Source organism: Homo sapiens, chromosome 7 (assembly GCF_000001405.40).
Source record: "Homo sapiens chromosome 7, GRCh38.p14 Primary Assembly".
Taxonomy (NCBI): domain Eukaryota; kingdom Metazoa; phylum Chordata; class Mammalia; order Primates; family Hominidae; genus Homo; species Homo sapiens.
In genome coordinates this window covers 30,496,170-30,518,538 of record NC_000007.14, presented here as the reverse complement: position 1 = coordinate 30,518,538, position 22,369 = coordinate 30,496,170, and the positions used below count along the sequence as shown (strand labels likewise).

General features: G+C 41.5%; 1 protein-coding gene across 5 annotated transcripts, besides 6 other annotated features; it reads left to right on the top strand.

Annotated features, from left to right (window-relative positions):
• Positions 5,890–6,391: an enhancer, noted in NCBI's record as "NANOG hESC enhancer chr7:30551764-30552265 (GRCh37/hg19 assembly coordinates)". NCBI's record gives its function as "activates a minimal SCP1, AML or CMV promoter by ChIP-STARR-seq in primed H9 embryonic stem cells {active_cell/tissue: H9 hESC(primed)}" and the evidence as "EXISTENCE:reporter gene assay evidence [ECO:0000049][PMID:30033119]".
• Positions 12,744–13,622: an enhancer, noted in NCBI's record as "H3K27ac-H3K4me1 hESC enhancer chr7:30544533-30545411 (GRCh37/hg19 assembly coordinates)". NCBI's record gives its function as "activates a minimal SCP1, AML or CMV promoter by ChIP-STARR-seq in primed H9 embryonic stem cells {active_cell/tissue: H9 hESC(primed)}" and the evidence as "EXISTENCE:reporter gene assay evidence [ECO:0000049][PMID:30033119]".
• Positions 13,235–13,324: an enhancer, noted in NCBI's record as "active region_25814". NCBI's record gives its function as "activates an Ori minimal core promoter by ATAC-STARR-seq in GM12878 lymphoblastoid cells {active_cell/tissue: GM12878}" and the evidence as "EXISTENCE:reporter gene assay evidence [ECO:0000049][PMID:35858748]".
• Positions 13,623–14,502: an enhancer, noted in NCBI's record as "H3K27ac-H3K4me1 hESC enhancer chr7:30543653-30544532 (GRCh37/hg19 assembly coordinates)". NCBI's record gives its function as "activates a minimal SCP1, AML or CMV promoter by ChIP-STARR-seq in primed H9 embryonic stem cells {active_cell/tissue: H9 hESC(primed)}" and the evidence as "EXISTENCE:reporter gene assay evidence [ECO:0000049][PMID:30033119]".
• Positions 13,710–21,918, top strand: GGCT (gamma-glutamylcyclotransferase). 5 transcript variants are annotated; one of them, NM_001199815.2, is made up of 4 exons: positions 13,710–13,970; positions 17,858–18,003; positions 20,643–20,798; positions 21,304–21,918. In NM_001199815.2, exons 1-4 carry the CDS (start codon positions 13,830–13,832, stop codon positions 21,359–21,361), a joined length of 501 nt encoding a protein of 166 aa, NP_001186744.1. In that variant the 5' UTR covers positions 13,710–13,829; the 3' UTR covers positions 21,362–21,918. The 5 variants fall into 5 exon arrangements, 4 of the variants coding, with proteins under 4 accessions (NP_001186744.1, NP_076956.1, NP_001186745.1 ...); NM_024051.4 differs by lacking the exon at positions 20,643–20,798 and adding an exon at positions 19,601–19,736; NR_037669.2 differs by lacking the exons at positions 17,858–18,003; positions 20,643–20,798 and adding an exon at positions 19,601–19,736.
• Positions 13,765–13,974: an enhancer, noted in NCBI's record as "active region_25813". NCBI's record gives its function as "activates an Ori minimal core promoter by ATAC-STARR-seq in GM12878 lymphoblastoid cells {active_cell/tissue: GM12878}" and the evidence as "EXISTENCE:reporter gene assay evidence [ECO:0000049][PMID:35858748]".
• Positions 14,125–14,304: a silencer, noted in NCBI's record as "silent region_18068". NCBI's record gives its function as "represses an Ori minimal core promoter by ATAC-STARR-seq in GM12878 lymphoblastoid cells {active_cell/tissue: GM12878}" and the evidence as "EXISTENCE:reporter gene assay evidence [ECO:0000049][PMID:35858748]".
• Positions 21,919–22,369: the final 451 nt, after the last annotated feature.

Below are 22,369 nucleotides of genomic sequence, written 5' to 3'. Positions count from 1 at the left end.
GTATAATTGTTATTCTTGAACACCCCAAATTGTTTTGGTGTGGGATTTTTTGTTTTGCTTTGTTTTTGTTTTTGTTTTGAGACAGGGTGTCACTCTATCACCCAGGCTGGAGTGCAGTGGTGCGATCACTGCTCACCACAGCCTCGATCACCTGGGCTCTGGTGATCCTCCTGTCTCAGCCTCCCAAGTAGCTGGAACTACAGGCATGCATTACCATGCCTGGTTCATTGTTTTGTATTTTTTGTAGAGACTGGGTTTTGCCATGTTGCACAGGCTGGTCTTGAAGTCCTGAGCTCAAGCAATCCATTTGCCTGAGCCTCCCAAAGTGCTGGGGTTACCGGAGTGAGCCACTGCGCCTGGCTAGGTTTCTCATTTTTTTTTAAAGGTGAAATTCACATAACATAAAATTAACGATTTTAATGTGAACAATTCAGTGGCATGTAGTCCATTCACATTGTTGTGCATCCACCACTTCTATCTAGTATTAAAGCATTCCATCTCCCCAAAATAAAACTCTGTACCTGATGAGTAGTTAATTTCCTATTCCCTCTTTCCCCTAGCCCCTAGTAACTACCAATCAGCTTTCTATTCCTATGGGTCTACCTATTCTGCATATTTCATATAAATTTAATCAACCAGTATGTGACCTTTCATGTCTGGTTTCTTTCTAATAGCAGCATGCTTTTTAGTTTCATCTACATTGTGGCATACACCTGTGCTTCGATTCTCTTTATGGCTGCATGACGTTCCATTGTATGGATAGACCACATTTGTTTGTCCATTCACCCATTGACGGTCATTTGTTTTCACCTTTGGACCATTGTGAATAGTGCTGCTATGAAGACTCTTGTCCCAGTATTTTGTTTCCAATTTGTTTGGGGATACACCTAGGTGTGGAATTGCTGGGTTAGAGAATTCATCTTGCCACTACAATTTTGTGGCTTCCTAAGGCAAATTGAATAGTTCGTATGACTTAGCTAGCTTGAGACATCATTTTTAATACCTTTTGTTGTTGTTGTTGTTTTGTTTTGTTTTTTCAGAGATGGAGTCTCGTTCTGTCACCCAGGCTGGAGTGCAGTGGCGCAATCTCGGCTCGCTGCAAGCTCTGCCTCCCGGATTCCCGCCATTCTCCTGCCTCAGCCTCCCTAGTAGCTGGGACTACAGGCGCCCCCCACCATGCCCGGCTAATTTTTGATATTTTTAGTAGAGACAGGGTTTCACTGTGTTAGCCAGGATGGTCTCGATCTCCTGACCTCGTGATCCACCTGCCTCGGCCTCCCAAAGTGCTGGGATTACATGTGTGAGCCACCACACCCGGCCCCATTTTTAATACGTTTTTTAAAGATGCATATAAAATGCATTACCCTCTGGAAGATTCCAGTAACTTACTGAAGCAAGTTTCTCCTCTACATATACCTATTTCTGCCATGAGTAACTGTTCATTTTCAGTGAGTCATTTGAGTTTCTGTTATTCAGGTATACAGAGTTCCTGTTGTCTTTTTAGTCAACAAAGTTTAACAAAGACCATAATAAAGATGGCTTTCAGCAGCTCTGTTATTGGGAAGGGTTGTATTCATGTGAAGAAAGAAATTATTTTATTTTATTTTTAAGTTTTAGTAGAGGGGGGGTTTTGCTATGTTGGTTAGGCTGGTCTCGAACTCCCATCCTCAAGTGATCCACCTGCCTCGGTCTCTCAAAGTGCTGGGATTACGGGCATGAGCCACTGTGCCTGGACAGTAATAATATTTTTTAAAAGGCTGACATCAGCAGATCAGCTATTCTGGAAAGATTTTTAAACACTCAGAGGTTTTTTTGTGTTTGTTTGTTTTCTTTTCTTTTCTTTTTTAGAGGCAGGGTCTTGCTCTGTCGCCCAGGCTAAGGTGGAGTGGTGCAATCATAGCTCACTACAGCCTCAAACTCCTGGGCTCAAACAATCCTCACACCTTTCATACCTTAGGCCCCTGAGTAGCTGGGTGGGACTACAGGCATGCATCACCATGCTTGGCTAATTTTTAATTTTGTATAGGTGGGGTCTTGCCATTTGCCCAGGCTGGTGTCAAACTCCTCAAGTAATCCTTCTGCCTCGGCCTCCTAAAGTGCCAGGATTATAGGCCTGAGCCACTACACACAGCCCGGAGTTTTTAAAAAATACTCAATTAAAATGCTTCATTTAAGTGTATGTCTCTAAGAAAATTTAATAATTGATTAAATATTGTTGAATAGACTGAAAGCACAACATCCAAGCACATGAATTAAGCAAATAATGCAAGCATAGCTCCCACACTCCACAAATGTTTTCTAGTCATTCCAAAGCCATTCTTTTTAGAGGATCTTTAAGAAAATGCTTGGCTCTCATCCGATTATTATACAAGAGATTAAGAATTTACTGAGTTTACAGTTCTTTCTATGAAGGAAAGAATGAGGTCTACACCCAAAAGAAACATTGGGATTTTCATTTAAGTAAAGCTGTATTCTCATTTAAAATGGTACTAGTGCTCTTGTTGGCAACAGACACATGAAGCAAAATTTTCCTTTTACATTTGAATTTCAACTGCATTTAAAGTGTTATAAATACCATGACTACATAAGCTAAGGGAATGAATGTATTAACTCTGATGCAGTCTGTCAGGTTTTAACAGTAGTGAATCTTGGGATCGGTACATCTCATTCCAGTATAGCTATGGTAAATGACATAGAGATCGCTGAATTGTTGTATTTCCAGGACTTTTCAAAAGTGACTATTAAGGTTGGCTGTGGGATCTAGCAGGTTATTGTCCTAGAACACTTGTGGCCTTCTCCTAAAACAGACTGGGAAAATTCTGGTTCTTTATTCACTGACATCTCAAAGGGCAAAGAGGGAGGCACCATGACATTCTGCAGTTGCAGGCCTCTCAGGATGAGACTGTATTTTTCCATACAGCAATGTTGATTTGATCTGGCCTAATTCTCCGATTGATGTGGTGAGAGGCAGGACTACTTGGGAATGTATTCACTGTGCCTGATTTCTCTCTGGGCAATTTATTTGGTCATCAATCTTTTTATCCTCCTGACATTTGATTTCTAGATATTGGCCCAAATTCCATAAGATAGGAATTTTTGTTCTGAATTTTAATAACATATGTATTTTAATTAATAGTATATTTTAAAATAAAAGTAACACGACAAAAAGAAAAAACAAAGACAAAAAAGTAACCTAAGAATATATGCTCAAAAGTGCCAAAAATACAAAAGACTACAGAATTTTTAAAATAGAAGCTTTTTGTTCAACTTGCTGCTCTTCTTCCCACTTCTTCAATTCCATTTCTTTTCCTATAGGTGATCATGGCTAACATTTTGGTGTTTGTCTTTCCAAAGTGTATAGTTATAGATCTGAATAGAAATGTAGATACAGAGATATCAAAGATGAGCATGGGCTAAGCACTCAACAATAAACTACGTTGGGTCTATTTTTCAAAGTTACTCTCAAAACAAGAATACAGATTGTCCATTAAACATACTGGAATTTTAATACATTCTTTTTTTTCCCCCAGAACATTTCTGATTTCATATATTCTGGCATGTTTCCTGCCATGTGGCAAACCATAAGCTGAAAGAGATATAAATATAAATAACACTATGTCTAACAAAATTTGCTCAGAATATGCTAAAGCATTAGTATAAATGTCTACATCTTAAGTCAGAGCTAAAGAACAAGTTTCTCTCAGTAAATCAAGGAAAGCCAGGGGAAAAGACCATAGAGAAAAAGGATATGGGTGCCTGTATGAAGCAGGGGAGGTTTTTGACTCCAGTGCACCTAATTAGCAAATAAGTATCATTCATCTGTGCTGTGGTAAGCACTGCAGTATGCATAAATAGAAGGTGTGATACCTGCCTCCAAAGGGCTTACCATCTACTGAGAAATCCGACTAATCAGACAGGAAAGACTCAGATAATGAAGGCTTGCATAAGAGCCTGAATCTGATAAGGTAATGAACAAAAGACAGCCTCTACAGGTTTTTATAGATAGAAATGAGATGATAAAATCAAATTTAAACAATGTATCTTAACTCCCTTCCGGCCTTTCATTTCCATTCCATGAATGCTACCCTGGCTTAGGCTTTCATGACTTTGCCTATTTGCAGTGACCTTGTATTCAGCACTCTGCCATCTCTCCCACTACTTCCTCCCAAGCCATCCTGAACACAGGCCACATGTTTGATTTTCTAATCGTACACAAGGGAACGTCTCTGCTCAAAAGCCAAAAATGACTCTTCTTTGGCCACCAAATAATCTGAACTTTTTGGTGTGAAACTCAAGGCCCTGCCAGAAACAATATTAATCTCCTTCCAGACTGTCTCCCATTTCCTAATATTAACCCCTTGCTCTGTTGAAATTGAAGCCATTTTCCAAAGCCACCTCTGTGATGTCCTTATGTAATTCCCGCCCTCTTCTTGTCCTCCCCTGCAACCCTATCTCCATAGAAAAGCAGTCAGAAAAACCACCCTAGGAATTGATGCAGTAATCCAGGAGTGAGATGAGGATGGGAGGGAGAGGGTGAGCATGTGGGGATGAGGAGGAGGGTGGGACACAGGGAGTAGCCACAGACCTTAATGACTGATGGCAGATAGGGTGTGAAGGAGAGAGGTGAGTCAAAGGTAACTTATTTTCGGTTTTAGGCAACAAATACAAATCTTTCTCAATAACTACTCATCCCACATCCTTGTGGCTATTGGAGGTTGATATTTATTTCATACTGCCTGTATAACCTGGGACCATATATAATTAATGATGATTACTCTGTATTCTAGATCACGAATATATATATCTATATAAATATATACAAATATATAAATACAAATATATATATATATATATATATATTTACCTTAATGCAGGCACAACCAAATACTTTACTTTTGGAGCCAGATGTCTTTAAGATACACTCTAAAATATTATTGTGGAATTAGATACACTGCTTTCCACGTAAACCATTAATAGATACATTGAATAAGAATCTTTATTTCATTCCCAGTGTGGTTTGGAGTATAAGACTTAGGAAAGTGTCTGTGAAACCTACAGTGAGAAATTCCACTGGGTCTTGACAGCTGGAGTGAGCACTCAAATGTGCCCAGCACTTTTCTCTAGCTCCCTTCTCTGCTTGAGCTGTGGTCTGCTTTCTCCTTCTCTGTAGCTCAGATCATCTTCCTCCACTTCTCAGCCCACATGTCTAACGTGGCTGGGACCAGCTCAGAGTGTTTCAAATGTGTAGGTGCTCGGAGAGAGAGAGACCCAACCCTCTTAGACTCAGGTACACATTCTCAGGGAAGAAAACTGGAACCAGTAGAAATATCAGATCCCTATGTTCCCTGACGAGTGCTTCCTTCTCTAAGAAGAAAAACCTACTAAGAAGACAAATTACAGCTGGAAGGTTGTTTGGTAAGCGTGGAATCACCTATCTAATCTCCCAGCAAGTCTTAATTGCTCTACCATAAAAAAAAAGCAACCCAAATCCATCCTTTTCCCAGCTTCACTCCCTAGTCCAAAGCCACCATCCACCCTTGTCTAAACCTCTGCAGGACTGTCTTTGCTTATTTCTTTTCTTTTCTTTTTCTTTTTCTTTTTTTTAAGCGGAGTCTCACTCTGTCACCCAGGCTGGAGTGCAGTGGCGCGATCTCGGCTCACTGCAAGCTCTGCCTCCCGGGTTCACGCCATTCTCCTGCCTCAGCCTCCCGAGTAGCTGGGAGTACAGGCGCCCGCCACCATGCCCAGCTAATTTTTTTGTATTTTTAGTAGAGATGGGGTTTCACTGTGTTAGCCAGAATGGTCTCCATCTTCTGACCTCGTAATCCACCCACCTCAGTCTCCCAAAGTGCTGGGATTACAGGCGTGAGCCACCGCACCTGGCCCTGTCTTTTCTAATTTCTTAACTATCATTTCTATCCCCTTAGAATTGATTCTCCACTCAGCATGCAGAATTATCCCTTTGAAAATCAGATTATATTCCTACCTAAACCACCCCCAATAGCTTGTGACCTCTTAGAATCTAGATTCCTTAACATGGCCTCAAGGGCCCACGTGACCCAGCCCCTGCCTGTCTCTCTACCTCATCTCCTACTGCTCCTGCTTTTGTTCCTTCCACTCTAATCACTTGACCTCCTGACCTCAGTCATGCTAATAAACTCATGCCTCATTTAGATTTATTTTCCTAGTGGAAGAAAATGCATTGATCTGTGAACACAAATACATGGTTTATCTGTTACAGTTCTCATTGCATGTCAACAAACTGACATTCTGATGTGTACATCCATCTCTTATGAGTCTGCTTAGTGTGAATCTGCCCCCTCTGGTAGTACTGACAAGATTGTGTTTCTCAGCCCACAGAGCTAAGACACAGACTCATGAGACCCAGTCTCTGTCTATACCACTAGAGTTCTACTGCCCCTGAATGGCATTGCCTGCACAGACAGCTGGCCTTCCTCAGCAGACACACAGCCTTTGTACCATATAACTCTTCAGACTTGCTATGATGTACCAATGTCTTTCCTTGAAATGCTCTTCTGAAAATGATAAATGCTAAAACTGATTACAATGCTATTGAAAGTGGATGAGCAAGTTGATCTGCTGAGATGTGAAAACAAATTCTATTTTAATTTTTAATCTAAAATATTAGAAAGAATTTTGTTTCCTATACTTTGCTATATTTAGTAAATATACACTAATATAAGAATTTTGCTTTACTAAAACAGTAGAACCCTCAGTTAGCCAGGCAGTCATCATCTGTCACATAAAAGGTGTCCTGAGGAGGAATGGGAGTGCCTCCCCTGGGGAAGAGGCTGATGGTGGCTCTGGCTCTCAGTCAGTCGCTTTCCTTATCTTGGTATTTACTGTCATTTATCTGGGCTTAGCTAAACAGATTTATAGAGAATTAACTCTCACAAAATGGGAACATAATTTAAAAGATTTCTGCAAAGAATTGGACAGGAACTCTTGTCAAAATTGTAAGCAGAAGAAAAGAAAAAAAGAAAGGGACAGAGCCGACATTTCTCATACTTCTGGTACAAGCTCCTCATCACATTCATTGTGTTGTAAAAATAATGGTGATCTAGTAACATCTGACAAGGTCAGCCAAAATGATACATATAAGAATTTAGCTCTCCACCTAGGAGGGCTATTAGCAATAAAATTTCCATCTACTATAACTTATAATTAACTTTGACCTATATGTGTATTTCCCTTGAGATTGGCCAATGATTGATTGAAACTACCACAATTAATGACAGATAAAATAGCTTTTTTATTTTAAAATTTCTATTTTGTGGGTATTATAGAATGTATTTTATATATTAATATACATATAATTATATACTATTATAATCATATATTAATATTAACATATAATTGTGTGTGTTCAAAAATTTTTAATGGCACAATCAAAAAACTTTAAAGACCACTGGATTAAAAGATGGTATTTAGGGCCCAGCACAATGACTCAAGTCTGTAGTCTCAGCACTTTGGGAAGCTGAGGTGAGGGGATCGCTTGAGCCCAGGAGATCAAGACCAGCCATGGGCAATATGGCAAAACCCCATCTCTACAAAAAATACAAAAATTAGCCAGATGTGTTGCAACTGTAGTCCCAGCTATTCAAGAAACTGAAGTGGGAAGATCACTTGAGCCTGCAAGGTCGACGCTGCAGTGAGCCATGATTGCACCACTCCAGCCTGGGAGACAGAGCAAGGCCTTGCTTCAAAAAATAAAAATAAAAGATGACATTAAGAAGAAATCTGATCTCATTGTCTTTATTATCAAGTGATTGAAGGCTATAATCATTATTTAATAATCTTGTAGATAATGATTGTACTTGAAAGTGGGCTATTAATAACTAGATATATCTAGAGCACCAAGGTTTTACAATTGTTAGAAATTTGAGAAGCAGCACCCAGTAGTGACTTAGAGTCAGACTGCATGGCTGAATCTCTGCTTCAGTCATTGCTAACTACAACCTGGGGCAAGTTAGTTGACCTACTATGCCTGTTTCCTCACTGTAAAAGGAGAATAATATCAGTACTTTCCATATATGACTATTTTCAGGATTAAATGAGCTAATACATTTAAGAATTTAGGCCAGTGCCTGGCATTTCAGAAGTGCTCAATGAATGTTAACTAATATTAACCTGGCTTTGGTTAAATTTGAAAAAACAAACACAAAAACACAACTTTGTGTAGGTAACTTTGTTACCTACTGCCCCTTGCTGGCCAACCTGGGTCAGTACACTGCCATCTATGTGGGGAAGCTAAATAAATAAGTGCTTGGAGTAAGGAAAGATTTTCAGCGTTGAGGGTAATATCAATGCTAAACTTATGAATATTTTTGCAAAATAGTCTTGAGAAAAATCAATTGTCATGAAATTAAGTAATTAGCAAGAAGTATAGGAAGAGAAATTAAATATCTGTAACAATAATTAAATAATAAGCACATTTTAGATTCTTAAGAGCAGTTGAAAAGCAAGACATTTTAAATTGCAGTGCTCTAAAATAGGACCCTTGAGAATTTATGGTGTAATAGAATATGATTTGCCAGGAAAAGCAACTTGCTCCCTGAAATGACCAAGTATGTATTTCAAGTTCTGCCTAGATGTTTGAGGGGTGGGAGGAGGTATTATCTTCTGTAGGGAGACCCCCTGAAACTACTGCTACAGAATAAAAGATGAAATGCTCCTGGTTATTGTAAATACAAAGTTGCATGCAGGATTGTGTAAAGACAATGCCAGGTTGGGCTGCCAGAATGAGCCAACAGCGCGTGATGTGCTTCCCCCTGCAGAGAGCCTATGAACAGACGTGCAGTCAGGGAGGTTTCACATCACCAAGATTCCTATCCCAGAAAAGCAGATGTTCAGAGCTCTGGGAATGGAATGCAACGCTTGTGGAGAGCCTATAAGCAGATGCATGAGGGGCACCTGTTCATATGGATAAGATAGGGCTACAAACACCCTCATCTTGCCATGGCTCTTCTAGGCCTCTTTAGGGTTAAGGCATACTCCCTTCTGAGAATTTCTGGTCTAACCGGTTGTCTAGCTTCACGTCCTGTTTCCATGGATTGTTTGTAACCAGCTTTTGCTGCAACAGTTACTGCTGATTAATATCTTGCTAATCATAGGTTATGGACAGACTGTGTTTCTGTTTCAAGGCTCTGTTAGAAATGACTGATGTAAATTCTTATCTCTGTATACTGTACTTCTGCATATAGATGTTATGTTAAAGAATTACTTCATCTCCATGTGACTATCTCACCTCATAATCAAACGACCCTAAATCCCTCACTAACCTACCCCTGACCTCACTAAACTTAATAATAAATGCTGGTATATCCAGTGCATTGGCGGCACCACGGGACCAGAAGATGGTGACCCCCCCTGGACCCAGTTTTCACTATCTTGTGTGCGTCTATTATTTCTCGACCTGCCGATCTGCCCGTGAACAAGGAAAGAGCCCCATTGCATTGCGGGCTGCGGGGCAGATCCCACAATAATCTTCCTATTTGCAGATTGTATAATAATAATAATGCTATTGCTTATTGAGTGCTCACTACATGGCAAGGGCTTTCCATATATCACCTTTTTCCTTGTTCTTTTTTTAACATGAAAATATTCAAACATATATACATTAAAAATATAATGAACATCCATGTACATCACTACATTTAACATTTAACACTTTCTGTATTTTTTTGTTCTGAATTATCTTAAAATATAGGTATCAAATATTTCAACCCTATATATGCCAGTATACATGTCTAAAAATAGAGACATTTTTCTACCGAAGCACAATACCATTATCACACCTAATAACAATTGCCTAATATCACCTAATGCCCCAGTGAAAACTCAAATTTCTTCAGTTGTCCCCGAAATATCTTTTATATCTGGCTTATTAAACCAGAATCAACAGAGGACAAGCCATACATTTGGTTATTGTTTGTTTGTTTGTTTGTTTGTTTTTGAGATGGAGTCTTGCTCCGTTGCCAAGCTGGAGTGCAAAGGCGTGATCTTGGCTCACTGCAAATTCTGCCTCCCAGGTTCAAACAATTCTTCTGCCTCAGCCTCCCGAGTAGCTGGGACTAGAGGCATGCCACCATGCCCAGCTAATTTTTGTATTTTTAGTAGAGATGGGGTTTCACCATGTTGGCCAGGAAGGTCTCCATCTCTTGACATTGTGATCTGCCTGCCTCAGCCTCCCAAATTGCTGGGATTACAGGTGTGAACCACCACACCCAGCCACATTTTTAAAATTTCTTTTAATCTAGAGCAGCCATCCCTCAGTGCTGCTTTTTTTCTTTTTAATGACACTGACTTATTGAAGACACTGGGCCATGTGTTCAGTAGGGTGTTCCACCATTTATTCTGGGTTTTTCTGGTTGTTTTCTCCTGTTGTAATTTTATTCTTCTATCCTTGCAGTTCCTGAGACAGGAAGATAGATTTAAAGGCTTGATGATGTTGAGGTTAAAATTTTTTGGAAAGAATACTTCATAGATGATGCTGGAGCTTCATATTGCATCAAATTGGGAGATATTTAATGTCAGGCTGGGCCACTTTTATGGTGATAAGATTGTTCTGGGTTAAGGTAGGAGGGGCAAGATTTCCCTGTGTTGTAAAAATGTAACCAGCAGTAGGCCAGGCGCGGTGGCTCACGCCTGTAATCCCAGTGACAGGTGAAGCCAGCTGGGCTTCTGGGTCGGGTGGGCACTTGGAGAACTTTTCTGTCTAGCTAAAGGATTGTAAACGCACCAATCAGCACTCTGTGCCTAGCTAAAGGTTTGTAAACGCACCAATCAGCACTCTGTGTATAGCTAAAGGTTTTTAAGTGCACCAATCGGGGCTCTGTGTCTAGCTAACCAGGTAGGAGGCTTAGAGAACTTTTCTGTCTAGTTAAAGGATTGTAAATGCACCAATCAGTGCTCTGTGTCTAGCTAAAGGTTTGTAAACACACCAATCAGGGCTCTGTCAAAACAGACCAATCAGCTCTCTGTGAAATGGACCAATCAGCAGGATGTGGGTGGGGCCAAATAAGGGAATAAAAGCAGGCCACCAGAGCCAGCATGGGCAACCCACTTGGGTCCCCCTCCAGGCTGTGGAAGCTTTGTTCTTTTACTCTTTGCACTAAATCTTGCTGCTGCTCACTCTTTGGGTCCGCACCGCCTTTATGAGCTGTAACACTCACCACGAAGGTCTGCAGCTTCACTCCTGAAGCCAGCGAGACCATGAACCCACAGGAAGGAACAACTCCAGACGGGAGGAACGAACAATTCTGGACGGGAGGAACGAACAACTCCGGATGGGAGGAATGAACAACTCTGGACGTGCCACCTTTATGAACTGTAACACTCACCATGAAGGTCTGCAGCTTCACTCTTGAAGTCAGCAAGACCACAAACCCACCAGAAGGAATGAACAACTCCAGATGCACCGCCTTTAAGAGCCGTAACACTCAACCGCGAGGGTCTGCAGCTTCACTCCTGAAGCCAGCGAGACCATGAACCCACAGGAAGGAACAACTCCAGACAGGAGGAACGAACAATTCTGGACGGGAGGAACAAACAACTCCGGATGGGAGGAATGAACAACTCTGGACGAGCCACCTTTATGAACTGTAACACTCACCATGAAGGTCTGCAGCTTCATTCCTGAAGTCAGCAAGACCACAAACCCACCAGAAGGAATGAACAACTCCAGATGCACCGCCTTTAAGAGCCGTAACACTCACCGCGAGGGTCTGCAGCTTCACTCCTGAAGTCAGTGAGACCACAAACCCACCAGAAGGAAGAAACTCCAGACACATCTGAACATCTGAAGGAACGAACTCCGGACACACCATCATTAAGAACTGTAACACTCACCGCGAGGGTCAGCGGCTTCATTCTTTAAGTCAGTGAAACCAAGAACCCACAATTCCGGACACACCAGCACTTTGGGAGGCCGAGGCGGGCAGATCACGAGGTCAGGAGATCAAGACCATCCTGGCCAACATGGTGAAACCCCGTCTCTACTAAAAATACAAAAAATTAGCCAGGCATGGTGGCGGGTGCCTGTAGTCCCAGCTACTCAGGAAGCTGAGGCAGGAGAATGGTGTGAACCCGGGAGGCGGAGCTTGCAGTGAGCCGACATCACACCACTGCACTTCAGCCTGGGCGACGGAGTGAGACTCTGTCTCAAAAAAATAAAAATAAAATAAATAAATTGTAACCAGCAGTAATCCTCAGGGAGTAATTTGGCATCAAGTGAATATCCTGTTCCCTATCACCTTTTCACCAAATGATATCACTGATGATCCTGGCATGAATCAATTATAAAATTCCATTATTCATTTAGGATGACTTAGTTGGCATACTTTTGTAAAGAGAACTGTTTCCTCATCAACTGATGCTCGTCATCAGCTGTATTTCAGTTACCCCGAAATACAGCTGCTACTAGAAAGGCGGAATACCTGTTTGTTTTCTTAAATTATCACTTTGCAGAGTAAAGTTGGTGTAATAGTCACCACCAATAGTGTGGCAAATGAAGTTATAGTTTTTTTTTTAATTTGGATTACTCTTTGGGGGGAATGGCTTTTTTATGTTTAAAGTTTCCAATCATTTTTCAGTTTGCAGTCATTGTTATTTTTGATTCTCAAATTGTTCTAATTTTGGCCAGTGGGCAACTTCAGGCTGGTTCCCATGTCCTTTTAGAAGGACCTCGTTCGTCTTGAGAGGCGTCCTGAGCTTCTGACACAAGATGTTCCAAGTTGTCCTCATTCACTCCTAGCTCCTGACCTGGCATCAGTCATTTCTCGAAGGATCACTTGGTACCTTTTAGTGGGGGGTGGTATTTAGAGATTAATAGCTGGGTGTCAAGGATAGACAATGTTCCTATGCCCTTATGTTCATTCAAAAGTTAACAATATAGGTTTTAAAAAATACACCCAGGATGTGTGTGTGTGTGGGAGGGGGTAACCAAAACACAATATAGGGGTTTCTACTGTGACCCTAACTTATATTATGATCCCGATTTTTAAAAAGAGGAAACGGAGACCAGAGGTGCCCAAAGTTACTTGGCTAGTAAATGGCAGCGTCGGGATTTAAGCCCAGGCATGTAACTTCCATGTAACAGGGAAGGGAGTCCCAAGCATTCAGAGGGGCCGCTCCAGCAGGCGACGGGTCCGTGGAAAGGGGTCAGATTGATGACCAGTGCTGGGGGTGCCGGAACCAGCAGAAAGGGTGAACGGACCCGTCCTGCCCGACTCCTCTAGGCCAGGAAGGCAGGACCCGGCGAGCTGCCGGATGAGGGAGCCGTTGATGGAGTCGCCTGGGCCGCTGTTTCGCCTCAGATCTGACCAGAACTTCCTAAGGCACAGAAAGTACCAAAGAACCACACACAAGCACCCCAGAGCGAAGAAACCAGTCACGCGCCACGACCTTCAGCCAGTGTCCATGGGACCCGACCCGCCTGTGAGGAGTGCCTGTCCACCCCTCAATCAGAGGAAGCCTTGAGCAAGGAGGGGCGGGACATCAGTAGGTCGTGTCCAATGAGGAGCCAGCGCCGGATTGCTTCAGGACAGACTATTTCTGAGTCTCGGCGGAAGGCGGAGGGAAGGCCGTGGGGATGGCCAATCAAAGGGGGCGACTCAGGTCGGTGGGGACCGGCAGCCAATCAGGAGAGCGCTCGCTCCTGACTCGACCGGCCCACGCTTCCCGCCAGTCCCCTAACCCTGAGGCTGCCGCGCGGCGGTCACTGCGCCGGGGTAGTGGGCCCCAGTGTTGCGCTCTCTGGCCGTTCCTTACACTCTGCTTCAGGCTCCAGTGCAGGGGCGTAGTGGGATATGGCCAACTCGGGCTGCAAGGACGTCACGGGTCCAGATGAGGAGAGTTTTCTGTACTTTGCCTACGGCAGCAACCTGCTGACAGAGAGGATCCACCTCCGAAACCCCTCGGCGGCGTTCTTCTGTGTGGCCCGCCTGCAGGTGAGTGCCCCCTCCCGCGCTACCCACGCCGGGGCCGGGATGCCCAGAAGGCGCTTCCTCGGGGGCACACGTGGCCGATCGGGCCAGGAATGCAGTTCTTCTTGATGAGGGTACTAGGACGCGGCTTCCGCCTCCTGGGCGGGTCCACCTCCTCCGCTGCGCCCACTGCCCGGCCCTGCCCGGGCCACGGTGCCCTCTCGGGCTGCCTGGAGCTTTCCCCCTCCTGGCCTTTGCACCGGCTGCTCGGTCTGCACCGATTTGGCCTCTCGTCCACTAACTTAACAGATTGCATACAGTTGGTACTTCTGGAGAGTCTTCTCTGACCCGTGTCTGGGAATTGGTTGCCTTCTGTTCTGTACATAACCTTTGTTACAGCACTTCTCACCTGGCATTGTGAAAATCCGTTTACCTGCCTTTCGCTCCTCATCTAAGAGGTCCTGAAAGCTGGGACCATGTCTTATTTGTAATAATGCTGTGTTCAGTTAGGTCAAGGGGCTGCATGAACTATAACCAGTGTTGGTAAATCATTGCTCTTCAGCCCAGTCCATTCATTCATTTAGTACATATTCTTCCGGCACTTAACACTAAGGGTATAAACATGATTGAGTAAAGTGGCTGTTTCGAGGAACTCTCAGTCTGTAGGACAGAGGTGCAATAGATTATGTTCAAAACCTTTTTGACAGCGTCGAATGAGACAAACATGATCTCTGCTAACATCGTGAGTTCTTAGTTGCAAGCAACAGAAACTGGCTGATTTAAGCAAAAAAAAAAAAAAAAAAAAAAAAAAGAATGTGTTGAAAGGCTATTGGAGAGCTCACAGAATGACCAGGAAGGCAGGAGTACAAAGCTGACAAAACGGACAAGCATAAAGGGAGGCACAGCAACTGTAATACAGTGGGCATCACACAACAGAACCAGCCCACGGAGCCTCTTCCACGCCACTGCTGAACTTGGTAAACGTGGATGCTGTATTGTCCACCACCCCCTGCCCTGGACACTGCCTGCCTCTGTACATCCCTGCAGTTCCTGAAACCCAAATGTGTCAGCCTCTCTGGAGTCCCTGCTGTCTTGGGCACTAGCTTCTAATTGAAAGCCCCAGAATGTCCCGATTGGCTAAGTTTTGGCCACGTACCCATGCCGTGATTTTAAGCAAAACTGAGAGAACCAGCTTCTGGCCTTTGAAGCCTCAAAAATGGGAGTCAGGCTCTGATACTCCCTATTCCCAAACTCGTAAGGTAGGGAATTTCCCAACTGTAGGAAGGGAGTCCAAATGCTTACAGTCAGGGCAAGGGGAAGAGATATTAAACAAGGGATTATTCAGTTACAGGTATATGGTCCATCTTAAAAAGGAGGCATGCAAAGTGCAATGGGGCGTATGACCAGGGTACCTGACCTAACCAGGATGCTCAGGAAAGCCCTGCCTGAAAATGTGACTTTTAAGTTGAGACCTGAATGATTGTAGAGGTGGGGAGCACACAAAACAGGGAACAGCATCTTCTGCAAAGGACCTGAAGAAAGAGGAAGCTGGATCTTTCAGTCAGTGTGGCTGGAGTTTAGTAAGGGGAATGTGGCATGAAGACTGGAGATATGTGGAAGGGCCACATCTTCCAGGACCACAGAAGCCAAATAAGACACACTGCAGAACTAAAGCACATGAAAGATAGATTTCTATCTCCAAAAGCCCATTCTGGTCACATGGAAAATAGATTTGAAGGAGGGAAGAGTGAATGTGGAGAGTTCAAGAAGTTTTTGCAGCAATTTATGCCAAAGATAATGAATGGCATCTTGAACTAGGGTGGTGGCAGGGCAGGGTGGATGGATTTGAGAACTAATTTGGAGATAACATTGTTAAAGCATAGTGATTGAGTGTGAAGAGAATACCAAAGATGACTCAGGTTTTTGGCACCAGGTAGATGCAGGTGATGTTTGCAGAGAAAAGAGGAAAATCCGGCTTGGGAGGAGAAAATTTTAAGTTCAGTTTGAACATTTTGAATTTGAAATGCTTGCTAAACAGTCAAGTGAACAGAATAATATTAGCAAACATTTATTAAGTACTTACTGTGTGCTAGGCCCTGTTCTAAGCACTTCTGAAGCTCAGAAGAGAGATCTGGTCTGGGTTTAAAGATGATCAGAATATTTGAAGCCATTGGAGGGGATGAGAATGTCTTGAGCAAATTGCCAAATGAATAGAGAAAATGGCCTAGACCATGGGTGTCCAACCTTTTGGCTTCCTTGGGCCACACTGGAAGAAGAAAAATTGTCTTGGGCCACACATAAAATACACTAAAACTAATGATAGCTGATGAGCTAAAACAAAAACAAAAACAAAAAAAAGGCCCATGCATAATTTTTGTGATGTCCGCCACCACAGGTAAGCAAAAAAGTTCTTGCATCCAAAGGGTTGGACACCCATGGCCTAGACTGAGCCTTGAGCAACTCCAACATTTAAAAATCAGGTAATGGAGGAGGAGTTGGCAAAGGGGATTGAGATCAAGGAACAGCCTGAAAATCAGGAAAGAGGCAGATCAGGAGAAGGTGGTTACCTATGTTCCGCTGAGAAGTGGAACAAGATGAGGAATGAAAATAGTTTATTGGATTTAGCAATACACAACCAGTTAGTGTGAATTGTAACTTTTATCACATCTCCTGGTGTCCTGCCAGGGACATGTGGTCCTAGAAGAACATCTCTTATGCTGAATAAAGGTACTGGTCACTCCAACCACCCCAATTCCTGAGATGTCTGACAAGTTTTTCTAGAAAATATAAGTGACAGGGATAAAATATAAACCTGAAAAGGATCCTAGAATTATCGTTTAGTTCAACTTTTTAAATTTATCTATAAGGAAACTAAGCTCTGGAAAGATGGAAAGAAATCTTCCTAGACCAAATAAGCCACATAAGGATTCTGTATTTTATTTGTTTTGTTTTTGTTTATTTTTTAGTTTGTTTTTTCATGTAAGGATTTTTAATCTTCCCCAGGACTCTATCCCCTGATTGCCCACCTCTGTGAGGAAAGAAGTTAAACTAGAAACCTAATTTCATTACTTATTAGTTCCAAGACCTTAGGAAGATTGCTTAATCTTTCTAACCCACAGTGTTTATTGCTGTAAAATGGGTATAAGAAAGTTGTTAGCAAAATAAAACGGAATGGTCCATAATTATATATTAGCCAATAGCACTGTGTACAAAATGATCCACCCGCCACGGCCTCCCAGAATGTTGGGATTACAGACGTAAGCCCCTGCACCTGGCCCCCAAAACACACTCTTTTATCCATGTCTTTGGGCATGCTCGTCCCCTGCTTAAATGGCCTTCCCATTTGCAGTTAGTGTTAGGTGCTCTTATGATTATTGTAGATAAATTAGTATAATTCGTGAGTATTAGTGTTCATAAGTACACAAATCATTCATCCTCAAATGCCAGGTCCCTCAGGGCAAATTTGGTGATATATGTTGGTAGGATACTCTACAGACATAAAAGGAGAGAGAATATTATAACCCACATGTAGCCATCACCCAGCTTGTCTCTAAGTAAAAATTTATGTGTATGTAAGAAGACTGGGAAGTAATTTGCAAAAATGAAAACAATTGTGTTCAGGCATTGGGGTTATGGGATTTTTTTTCCTTAAACTTTTTGTTTTTGTTAAGATGTCTATACATATTCAGTGTATGTTTCATTTTTAAAGAAAAATATTTAAAAAACGTAATCCTTGGGATCTGGGTCCTGTCTGTTTAACTTTATATTTTCCACAGCTTCTTATGCATAGAAGGAACTCAGTTTATTGACTGTTTTAATTGCATGGAGTTCAAGGTAAATCCTTTTTATTTTGATGAGGGAAATTTGGATTCAAGTGGATATTGATCATATCACTTTGATTTCCTTTGTAGGATTTTAAGCTTGACTTTGGCAATTCCCAAGGCAAAACAAGTCAAACTTGGCATGGAGGGATAGCCACCATTTTTCAGAGTCCTGGCGATGAAGTGTGGGGAGTAGTATGGAAAATGAACAAAAGCAATTTAAATTCTCTGGATGAGTAGGTGGCTTCTAATTATAAGTTAAACAGTAATTAATTCAGAAAGCAGATTGTATGTGAGGATGTGTACCTGTGTGTTAGTTTTTCAAAACCACATACTACAGACATATTCATTATACTTTTAGAGTCAACATAAAAGGCATGATAATGTGAGTTTGCTAAAAGGTCTAGAAAGGCTATATTTTCTGATAAAGATTTGGGGGGATGTTTGTAATCTCTTATGTAAAAGATGGAAGCCCTTATTTTTCATTCTATTGTCTTTCATAATTTTTCTTTATAGTTTCATACTGTGAAAAGGCATGAAGATTTCTGTAATTGTTACATATTTTTGTTGATTTTGAAAGTACTTGAATTCAGTTTTTAAAGAACAATTATTTAAGATGGCAGGTGAATCAGTAAATAAGTAATACTTTGTAAAAGCATCTGAGGACATGTTAGAAATGCTTTGATACTTTTTATGACTAGAGCTCTCAGAGTTGTGTGGCAGAGCATTTCATACAAAGAAAAGTTGCAGAAAAGAGTAGGCCTTGAGAAGAGAGGGTTATCTGACATGCTCGATACTTTACCTCACTTGTGAAGGAGAAAGAGCCATCCTCTCTACCTTTGTTCTAGGTGGATATTCTCTTGCTGTCAGAACACCATCCATTTTTGTAGCCCAAAGAACAATGTTTCCATAGTATAAAGTTGAAAAAAAAAACAAACTATATTGAAGCCTCTTTAAAGACAAGATAAATACAGAGAGTTATGTTAGGAGTATAACAAGTAATATTATGTCTCAGGCCTTCTAATTGAAATGCTAAGCTAAGCTTACTTTTTTTTTTTTGTAACGGAGTCTCGCTCTTGTTGCCCAGGCTAGAGTGCAATGGCGTGATCTCGGCTCACCCCAACCTCTGCCTCCCGGGTTCCAGTGATTCTCCCGCCTCAGCCTCCCGAGTAGCTGGGATTACAGGCATGCACCACCATGTCGGACTAATTTTTTGTGTGTTTTTTTTTTAGTAGAGACAAGGTTTCTCCATGTTGGTCAGGCTGGCCTCGAACTCCTGACCTCAGATGATCCACCCACCTCGGCCTCCCAAAGTGCTAGGATTACAGGTGTGAGCCACTGCACCCGGCCTTTTTTTTTTTCTTTTTGAGATGGAGTCTTGCTGTCTCCCAGCCTGGATTGCCACAGTGCAATCTCGGCTCACTGCAACCTCCACCTCCCGGGTTCAAGTGATTCTCTAGCCTCAGCCTATTGAGTAGCTGGGACTATAGGCGCCCACCACCACGCCCGGCTAATTTTTGTATTTTAGTGGAGATGGCGTTTCACCATGTTGGCCAGGCTGGTCTTGAACTCCTGACCTCAAGTGATCCACCTCAGCCTCCCAAAGTGCTGGGATTACAGATGTGAGCCACCGTACCCAGCCTAAATGCTAAGCTTACTTTTGATGTGGTAAATTTATATATTCTCTATCCCAAATACATAGGGAGCAAGTATGTTCAGATGTAGTTAAATGTTTAATCCCATACACCATCTTGACTATTATAAAAAGACCTTACCCAGTGAGCTAAATTGGCTAGGTCAAATGTGGTTAAAATTTGGCTGTTCTGGTTTCAGGCAAGAAGGGGTTAAAAGTGGAATGTATGTTGTAATAGAAGTTAAAGTTGCAACTCAAGAAGGAAAAGAAATAACCTGTCGAAGTTATCTGATGACAAATTACGAAAGTGCTCCCCCATCCCCACAGTATAAAAAGGTAAGCTATTTACAGACTGGTGGTGATTACTTTTTAAATTTCACTGAGAGAAACTAAAGAATATATTGTTTTTAAAAGACTTTAGGCCCAACGTGGTGGCTCATGCCTGTAATGCCACCACTTTGGAAGGCTGGGGCGGGCAGATCACCTGAAGTTAGGAGTTTGAGACCAGCCTAGCCAACGTGGTGAAACCTCATCTCTACTAAAAATACAAAACTAGGAGGCCGTGGTGGCGAGCACCTGTAATCCCAGCTACTTGGAAGGCTGAGGCATAAGAATTGCTTGAACCCAGGAGGTGGAGGTTGCAGTGAGCTGAGATCAGGCCACCACACTCCAGCCTGGGTGATAGTGAGACACTCTCAAAAAAATTTCTAAAAAAGAAATAAAAGGTTTTGTATGTTTTAAATTCCATGTAAACATTTATTTTAATAAAAATGTTTTTAAATATAAAAATGATAGTTATTTACCTAATGTACAGATTCAAAAATATTATGTGTAATGATAGAATTATGTTTTTAAAACTATTTATTAAAAAAATTTTTAGAAATATATGTGAGTCAGAATTCTAGACATGTATTTTCTCCCTTTCTTTTTTTCTTTCTCTCTTTCTTTCTTTCTTTTGCCTGGCAATAAATTTTTGCTTCATTTTTATGATGTAGACATGTATTAAAGTAGGAAAGAATATTTATGAGTGTATTTTAATAGATTTAGTCTCTCTCTCTTTCTCTTTCTATATATATATACATATATGTATATATATGTATATGTGTGTGTGTATCTATATATATATATATATGCTTTTGTAATGTTTTTCTCCCCGTAACACAGTATTTTATGAATACCAAGATTCATTTTTATAGGGGAAAAAAACATACTTTCTACTGCTGAAATGTTTTTCATCCCTAGGTGGAGAAAGAAACGTCACACTGCCTTTCAGAATCAGGGAAATCACCCTTGCAAGCACAAGACAAGAATGTGGGATAGAGACCCCAAAATTCCTGTTCAGAACCTAAGCTTAGCTCTCTGTTGGCAGGCCCAATCAGGTCATGGCACCTGTAATAGGTAATCTGGTTCCTAGGCCTCGTTTGGAATTTTTTAGTATGAAACCTAGAGAAATTAGCCTGGTATAGATTATGAAAGTACCGCTAAACACAGTTGCCATTTATTCCCCCATGTCCAATTCAGAGCAAGGGTAACCTCTGGCGTTGTAACCGAAACTGCTCTCTGTAAACTTTAAATTTTTTTTGAAGAATGGTATTTTTTTTCTTAAAAGGTCATATAAATTTTATATAGATATGTTTGTCTTAATATTAAAATATTTAAAATCATATATTGAGAAAGTTGATATTCCATGAGGATGCTTCATTTGGCTTTGAAAACTCCATACACATTCATGCTCAGTGTGAGAGGAATGATGGTATTCTATTTTATATAATTGTTTATTCTAGAGTTATCTGAAAGCTAATACTTCATACTTTGAGAAGGCAAATAAAGCTGTGGTATGGTACGTTAAATTATATTCCTAACTGAAAGGGTTTTTTTGTCTGTTTGTTTTAACCATTTCCAGATTATTTGCATGGGTGCAAAAGAAAATGGTTTGCCGCTGGAGTATCAAGAGAAGTTAAAAGCAATAGAACCAAATGACTATACAGGAAAGGTCTCAGAAGAAATTGAAGACATCATCAAAAAGGGGGAAACACAAACTCTTTAGAACATAACAGAATATATCTAAGGGTATTCTATGTGCTAATATAAAATATTTTTAACACTTGAGAACAGGGATCTGGGGGATCTCCACGTTTGATCCATTTTCAGCAGTGCTCTGAAGGAGTATCTTACTTGGGTGATTCCTTGTTTTTAGACTATAAAAAGAAACTGGGATAGGAGTTAGACAATTTAAAAGGGGTGTATGAGGGCCTGAAATATGTGACAAATGAATGTGAGTACCCCTTCTGTGAACACTGAAAGCTATTCTCTTGAATTGATCTTAAGTGTCTCCTTGCTCTGGTAAAAGATAGATTTGTAGCTCACTTGATGATGGTGCTGGTGAATTGCTCTGCTCTGTCTGAGATTTTTAAAAATCAGCTTAATGAGAGTAATCTGCAGACAATTGATAATAACATTTTGAAAATTGGAAAGATGGTATACTGTTTTTAGAGGAATAAACGTATTTGTGGTTTAACCTGTTGTCTCTACTAAAGTACTTCATTTCATTATGTTGTTAAATCATCACACATGCTGGGTCTGCTCTTGGCCATGCAGCATCTGTAGTGGAGTGGTATTGTACAGACTCTGGAGCCAAATAGCCAAGGATCAATTGTCTGTGCCACCATTTCTCACTGTGAGACTTTGGGTTCGTTTATTCTCTGTGTCTCAGTTTCCTCACATATAAAGTGAGGATAATCAAAACATCTACATCTTAGGATTATTTTGAGGATTAAATGAGTATATGTGTGTGTGTGTGTGTGTGTGTGTGTGTGTGTGTGTATAAAATAAGCTTAGGATAGCCGGGCGCGGTGGCTCACGCCTGTAATCCCAGCACTTTGGGAGGCCGAGGCGGGCGGATCACGAGGTCAGGAGATCGAGACCATCCTGGCTAACACGGTGAAACCCCGTCTCTACTAAAAATACAA

Excerpts from the sequence above, each read along its gene's own strand:
- GGCT (NM_024051.4), top strand. The coding sequence starts at position 13,830 with ATGGCCAACTCGGGCTGCAAGGACGTCACGGGTCCAGATGAGGAGAGT. Across the intron at positions 18,004-19,600 it reads AATTTAAATTCTCTGGATGA|GCAAGAAGGGGTTAAAAGTG; the intron begins GTAGGTGGCTTC and ends TTCTGGTTTCAG. Across the intron at positions 19,737-21,303 it reads CATCCCCACAGTATAAAAAG|ATTATTTGCATGGGTGCAAA; the intron begins GTAAGCTATTTA and ends AACCATTTCCAG.